Genomic DNA, 7,593 nt, shown 5'->3' with positions numbered 1-7,593 from the left:
GGAGCCCACCCCTTGCACCAGTGTGTCCTGAATGGAGGACATGGGGTCAAAGGAAATTATTTTGGAGCTTTAAGATTTAATGACTACCATGCTGGGTTTCAGACCTGTATGTGGCCTGTTGCCCCTTTCTTTTGGCCAATTTCTCCCTTTTGGAATGGAAATGTTTGCCCAATGCCTGTACCACCATTATCTTGGAAGTAAATAACTTGTTTTCATAATACAGGCTCATAGGTGGAAGGAGATGAGTTTCACATCAGACTTAGGACTTTGGACTTGATGTTGGAATGAATTAAAACTTTGGGGGACTGTTGGAAAGAGAAGATTACATTTTGCAATCCAAGGAGGGCATGAGACTTGGGGGCCGGGGTAGAACGATATGGTTTGTATATCTGTCTGCTCCAAATCTCATGTTGAAATGTGATCCCCAGTGTTGGAGGTGGGGCCTGGTGGAAGGTGATTGGATCATGGGGGCAGATCCCTCATGAACGGCTTAGTGCCATCCCCTGGGTGATAAGTGAGCTCTTGTTCTGAGTTCACACAAGATCTTGTTGTTTTTTTAAAAAGTGTAGAAACCCCGCCCCACCCCTTGCTCTCACTCTCACCATGTGATGCACCAGCTCCCCCTTTGCCTTCCGCCATGACTGTGAGCTTTCTGAGGCCTCACCAGAAGCCAAGCAGATGCTGGCACCACGCTTCCTGTACACCCTGCAGAACTATGAGCCAATTAAACCTCTTTTCTTCATAAATTACCCAGTCTCAGGTATTCCTTTATAGTGATGCAAAAACTGACAAATAATCACCTCTGTGGGACTTAGTGTCTTCATCTTTAAAATGGTGATAATAGTAGGTGAAAGTTAGTCCTAGACAAATGTATATAAAATATCTTGCACAGTTCTTTTGACTGAAGGGGTGCTTAATAAATATTACTTCCCTTTTCATATCTTACCTCCTCTAGCTCACATTCCACTTAAAGTGCAAGTTATTTAAACAAACATTCCTTTTAGTTCTAGAGAGAATTACATACAAAGGTACACTTTAAAAAAACTAAAAACCTCTAATGACTATAGGTAGAACTCCATTTCAAAACCTAACCTAAAAATCTTTGCCTAAACTTCCCACAGTACCTTCAAGTAAAGTTTTCCAACATATATCAAATATAATGCAGAATAAGGATAGTACTTGCTATTTTACTGATACTGAGAAAGTATTTCAAATTCAACTCCTATAAAATATTAAAATCTCCACTGACAATGTTCATCTGTAAATGTGTTTCTCAGCAACATGCTGCGTGAGTTTTAGTGGCCTCTTTAAATGGACCTAAACCTCCCTGTAAAACTACCTAACTAAAACTAATGTAAGAAAAATCATACAATTCTTATCAGGAGTACTTGGGAAAAGAAGAATAATTTTACAAATGTGAATATTCTAAGTCTACCTGCTTGAGATATAAATGCCCTGCACAAGAACAGAGTAACAATAAGCATTTTCACAATTGTAGTGAAACACATGTGTAGTTACACTGTTTATGCTGTACATTCATGCATGACCTGATATTGCTGAAATAGAGTCTTTATTTCTGAACATTCCAAAACAGCAGTGTACACAGTAACAAATATTAAGTTATATGCCATAAGAAAGCATTCATTAGTGCAAATGGATTTTGTAAAAGGTCTATCAAAAAGATTTATTTGCTTTAAAATGCATTCATTTCCAGAAGCATTGTTAATAAAACATTACAGTTTCATCCTTCGTAATAAAGTATTGAAAATCAATTGTGGTACAGTAGCAAACATTGCAGGTATTAAGTGCAATGAGCTCATGATGCCGTTATAAATATGAAACCCATGTATGACAATAAATTAAAAATGAAAAAGACAGGACCATTTAATTCTGCTGTCTGGTTATCTCCTTGCAATGCTTCAAATTATGTTGTGCTCATTCAACACAAAATTATGTGTCTCAAATTGCATGATGTGTTTTTGCTGATATATCCCTAGAGCTAAAAAAATAGTACCTTACCACAAAAATATTTTTATGGCACAAAATTTAAGTTGTTCCATAGTGGTTCACATAGGTGTAAAAAGAAATAGGCACAAAAAATAAAATTCCTGTAAACTATAAAAAAGTAAATTTCAAAGCATACATTATAGAACCTAGTTGTCAATATGCAATGTATTAAAATACAGAACATGTAATGGAAAGATGTTTAGAACACGTGAGTAAATTGAACAAGTTACTTTAAAAAACTCATATGGCAAAGCATTATTGATACATCTTAATTCTCTCAAAAAGTATTCAGGTACAGAGCAGTTCTACAAAAACTTCCTAGATCTAAGTGTCACAATACTGCAACCATGGGTTTGAGAATGTTGCAGTATCTCAGGCAAATATTTAAGTGCAATAATTAGTCTCTGGTGACTGGTCCATTGAGAAACAATGCAGTAAATATATTAAAACACAAAAGGGAAAGAATATCCCAACATCCACTGCTACCCAGCCAGCTAGGTAACACAACCCTCATTTTTACTTCTTTCCCATTTTTCAAGGGTACATAAAACTGCATTAGTAGCAACCATCTCTCCAATTTCCATCCCTCAGAGTGCTGAGTGAAGACAGAGGCTTTGGAGGCTGAAGAAAACTAAAAAGAGACAAGAAAAACAGAGAGAGAGATTGTTAATAATCCTATGAGTCACATCACTCACTTTGACCTACTCTCCCATCTATGTTCTTCCACTGCAGTAATGAGAAGCCACTGGCACCATCTCAAGTGTACCTTGTGGTTCACACTTACGGGTCTTCACTGCATGCTTATCTCCCAGAGCCCCAGTTCATGGCAAAGTGTCATGCATGTTGTATTTGCACAAGAAAATTTGCAACATAAATAAAGGGGCCAATACCCTTAATGTATAAAACATATTTTAAAATAAGAAAAATATAGGATCCTGGCTAGAAAAATGACCTAAAAACATAAATGGTTACTCTGTTGAATACAAACAGCAAATGAATATGAAGACATTTTCAAAACCTTATTAGTAATTGAAGATTTGCCTATCATATTCGCAAAACATTTAAAAAGAATCTTTGGCTGAGTGCAGTGGCTCACATCTATAATCCCAACACTTTGGGAGGCCGAGGCAGGAGGAAAACTTGAGGCCAGGAATTCAAGACCAGCTTGGGCAACATAGCAAGACCTTGTCTCTACAATTTTTTTTTCAAATTATCTGGGAGTGGTGATATGCACTGTAGTCCTAGCAAGGCAGGAGGATCACTTGAGCCCAGGAGTTTGAGGTTACAACAAGCTACAACCATAACACTGCACTCCAGCCTGGGCAAAAGAGCAAGACCCTGTCTCTAAAAAGAATAGATAAAATAAAAAATTTAAATTTAAAACAATTAAAAAGAATAATACCTAGCATTTGCTTAAGTTTGGGGAAATAGACCATCTCACATTGTCTAGCAGTGACCTTTCCAAGAGTTTAGTTTGGAGACACATAGTCAAGGATAAATGTATGGTCTACAATAACCATATACATCAAATAATGTGATTCTAGTCAGCCATCAGCATGATGACACAGCTCTGCATTTACAAAGCAGAATAAGCCAAAACTTACTGAATAAATAAACATGTACCAAAATTATTTCTATCTGGCAGTAGGATTATGGGTCAGTCTTTACTTTTCTATTTTTCAATAGTTTCTGTTTTTCGAAATTTGTTGTTGATCTGAGCATCTATTACTTCTAAACAAACAAAACAAAATAAAACTATTTATATATCCATAAATGCATAAAGACAGAAAAAAATTGCTTGTTCCACCTCTTTCAAACTTTTTACTATGGTTTTCTCCTTCTCCTTCATATCCTAATTTCTTGAAAGAGCTGTCTGTATTTATTGTCTTTATTTCCTCATCTACCAATCTCTCCTCAAACCACTTTTATGGATTTTTAATATAAGATACTCCATGATATCCAGTTCAAGAAGGGAACATCATGACCAAGAGCTAGACTAAATGTCCTTTGAAGTACTCTGAAACTTTGAAGGGAAAAAAAAAAAATTACTACCTGGACCATACTGAACTTACCAACATAAGCTGATAAAGCCCCAGGTGAATGTCATTAAGATGCTTTTCAAACCATAAATGTGTGGGAGGAGGGTGTGCGTGTGCACATACGCCTGACACATTTTTCCATATTTTGATTAAAAATGACTGATTCAACAAATATTTGAGATCCTACCTGTATTGGGCATAGTTCTTGGCATCGGGGATACACAGCAATGAACCAAAAAGTCAACCTCCCCCCGCCCTACAATTTTTGGATAGAGCTGCCATCTGAGCAAAGACCTGAGGGAGGCACAGAGCAAGCCATGCAAATAACTTGGGAGCAGAAAGCTACAAAAGCTCTGGAGACAGAGCTTATCTGGTAAAAGCAAAAGCAAAGAGCGTCTTAGGAGTGATAGTGATGAGGGAGTAAGGGAAGAAAATGACATCAGAGAGAAGGGGACCTGACCCACACAGGGATATCCATCACTTTTCAAAGGGAGGAGAGCACAAGTCAGGCCATAAAGGGTAGTGTCTTACTAAGGTTAAAGTGAGCCAAAGGAAAAGTCAGCGTGTGTCTGGAGCAGTTTCTAGTTCCAAACTGCAAATGAAGTTACGCAAATACACATTCTTACCTTCTAACAGGTTGTGCAATTTTGCTTCGAGGCAGGTTACTCCCATTTATTGCCAACGAAGGTCTTGGGAGTGCACTGCGACCCATTATCCCAGAAGCTGCAGCTTTGTTCGGTGTGGGGATTCCTGTGTTGGAATACAGCTGTAAGCCGTTTGATAAAGGCATGTTACTGCTGCCTTGAACGGTTGGACTCACATAGGCTGTGGCTTTAAGAGGCTGTCGGATAGACACTGGGAAATGCCCCACGCTGTGGACCCTGTGTTGAAGCTGTCCCGGTGATGGAACTAGAAGAGAAAATGATATTCATGTGAGCAACCTTCTACCACTATCCGACTTAGGAAATGTGTGTTATTTTCAGAAGAGTCCATTATGCCTGAGAGTACAATATACACAGGAGGAGAAAAACAGAATATAGGTTCCAGACAGCACTGAGAAATGGAAAATTCTAATCCTTGACAAAGATCTCCTGGTCTGTCCATCAGCCACATTTTGGAGTGCCTGGCTATATGCAGAAGCCAGTTCTAAGCACAGCCTCCTTTCCTTTACAAATGTGATGATGTCTGAGTTCTCACAAGAGAAAGTCTTCCCCGTTTGCTTGCTAGACATTAGGATTTCTTGATGCTTGCTTTGGTGGTGGTTCCAAGAAAATAAAATGAGGAGATACTTTAATAGTTGTAATTACAGAAAAGAAGACAAGGTGGTATCTGTAGGTACAAACAGTTTATTACAGATATATTCCTTAAATAATATTCATTATGTCATTTATCTATCTGAGTTGCTGGGCATTATTACATTTATAATAGTAGCAAAACCTATAAAATGAAGGGCACTGGGAACTCTCTGGATAAGAACCCTTAAAAATTTCATCAATATACTGATCCAACTTTGTGTATCATTTCACATTAAAAGTAACAAACTGGTAGGCAGAAGTTTTTAAATTTTTTAATCCCTTTCTCCAAGGAAAACAATCAAATTTAATAGAAACTTATGCACAGAATTCTGCTTACATACTAACTACCCAAGCCTTTGATGCCTAGTACTGGCAACATGGTTAAACATGGACATACCCTGTTTTCTAAAACAGTTGAATTTACTTAATCATGAAATATATAAATACTTTTTTGAAATAAATATAAGGGGGAAAAAGACCCAAAAAAGTATCTATGGTTTTATTTATCATCTCTTGAAAATATTTCCTTAAAAATAGTTTTTCCTTAAATTTTTTTTCCTTAAAAAATGTGTTTAATTATACAAGGCAAAATCTATACACAGAAATACTGATACATGTGCTATCAAAAAGATAACACATCATGATCAAGCAGGTTTCATCCCAGGGATATAGAAATGGTTTAACATAGGCCAATCAGTAAATGTGGTACATCACATAAACAGAATTAAAAACCAAAACTATATGATCATCTCAACAGATACAAAAAAGCATTTGATAAAATCCAGCATCCCTTTATGATAAAAACCCTCAACAAAACAGGCATACAAGGGACTTACTTCAAAGTAATAAAAGCGATATATGACAAACCCATAGTCAACATCATATTGAACGAGGAAAAGTTGAAAGCATTCCCCCTGAGAAATGGAACAAAACGTCCTTCACAACAATGTCCACTTTCACCATTTCTAGTCAACATAACACAGGAAGTCCTAGCCAGAGTACTTATAGAAGAGAAAGAAATAAAGGGCATCCAAATTGGAAAAGAGGATGTCAAACTGTCACTGTTTACCAATAATATGATTAGATACCTAGAAAACCCTGAAGATTCATCCAAAAAGCTCCTAGATCTGATAAATGGATTCAGTAAAGTCTCAGGATACAAAATCAATGTACACAAATCAGTAGCACTGCTGTATACCAACAACAACCAAGCTGAAAATTAAATCAGGAACTCAATCCCTTTTACAACATCTATAAAAAATAAAATAAAATACTTAGAAATATACTTAACCAAGGAGGTGAAAAATCTTACAAGGAAAACTACAAAACACTGTTGAAAGAAATCACAAATGACACAAACAAAACACATCCCATGCTCATGAAATGGAAGAATCAATACTGTGAAAATGACCATACTGCCCAAAGCAATCTACAGATTCAATGCAATTCTATCAAAATACCATCATCATTCTTCACAGAACTAGAAAAAACAATCCAAACAATCCTAAAATTCATATGGAACCAAAAAACGGCCCACATAGCCAAAGCAAGACTAAGCAAAAAGAACAAGTCTAGAGGTACCACATTAACTGACTTCAAATTATACTACAAGGCTATAGTTACCAAAACAGCATGGTACTGCTATAAAAATAGGCATATCGACCAATTGAACAGAATAGAGAACCCAGAAATAAACCCTAATACTTACAGCCAACTGATCTTCAATAAAGCATACAAAAACATAAATTGGGGAAAGGACACCCTATTCAGTAAATGGTGCTGGGAAAACTGGCAAGCCACATGTAGAAGAATGAAACTGAATACCTACCTCTCACCTTATACAAAAATCAACTCAAAATGGATCAAAGACTTAAATATAAGACCTGAAGCCATAAAAATTCTAGAAGATAATATTGGAAAAATTATTCTGGACATTGGCTTAGACAAAGAAATCATGACTAAAATCCCAAAAGCAAAGGCAACTCAAACAAAAATAAATAAATGGGACCTAATTAAACTACAAAGCTTCTGCACACCAAAATAAATAATCAGTGAGTAAACAGATAACTCAGAGTAGAAAAAAATATCTGCAAACTATGCATCTGATAAAGGACTAATAGCTAGAATCTACAAGGAACTCAAATAAATCAACAAGAAAAAAAACAACTAATCCCATCAAAAAGTGGGCAAAGAGCATGAATTGACATTTCTCAAAAAAAGATACACAGCCAACAGACAAATGAAAAAATGTT

At 36.4% G+C, this 7,593-nt stretch overlaps 1 protein-coding gene across 9 annotated transcripts in view; it reads right to left on the bottom strand.

Moving 5' to 3' along the window:
* Positions 1 to 1,553: 1,553 nt before the first annotated feature.
* Positions 1,554 to 7,593, bottom strand: part of SLAIN1 (SLAIN motif family member 1) — a 66,543-nt gene continuing 60,503 nt past the window's right edge. For all 9 annotated transcript variants that reach the window (NM_001411026.1, NM_001242868.2, NM_001366665.1 and 6 more), the window contains 2 exons: positions 4,673 to 4,955; positions 1,554 to 2,638 (listed from right to left, as the gene is read on the bottom strand). In NM_001411026.1, the coding sequence (NP_001397955.1) occupies positions 2,563 to 2,638; positions 4,673 to 4,955 (359 nt within the window). In that variant the 3' untranslated portion in view covers positions 1,554 to 2,562. The remainder of the gene's footprint in view (positions 2,639 to 4,672; positions 4,956 to 7,593) is intronic.

This window comes from Homo sapiens, chromosome 13 (assembly GCF_000001405.40).
Source record: "Homo sapiens chromosome 13, GRCh38.p14 Primary Assembly".
Classification (NCBI taxonomy): Eukaryota; Metazoa; Chordata; class Mammalia; order Primates; family Hominidae; genus Homo; species Homo sapiens.
The sequence above is the reverse complement of the archived record's forward strand: the minus strand, read 5'-3'. Positions and strand labels throughout refer to the sequence as shown.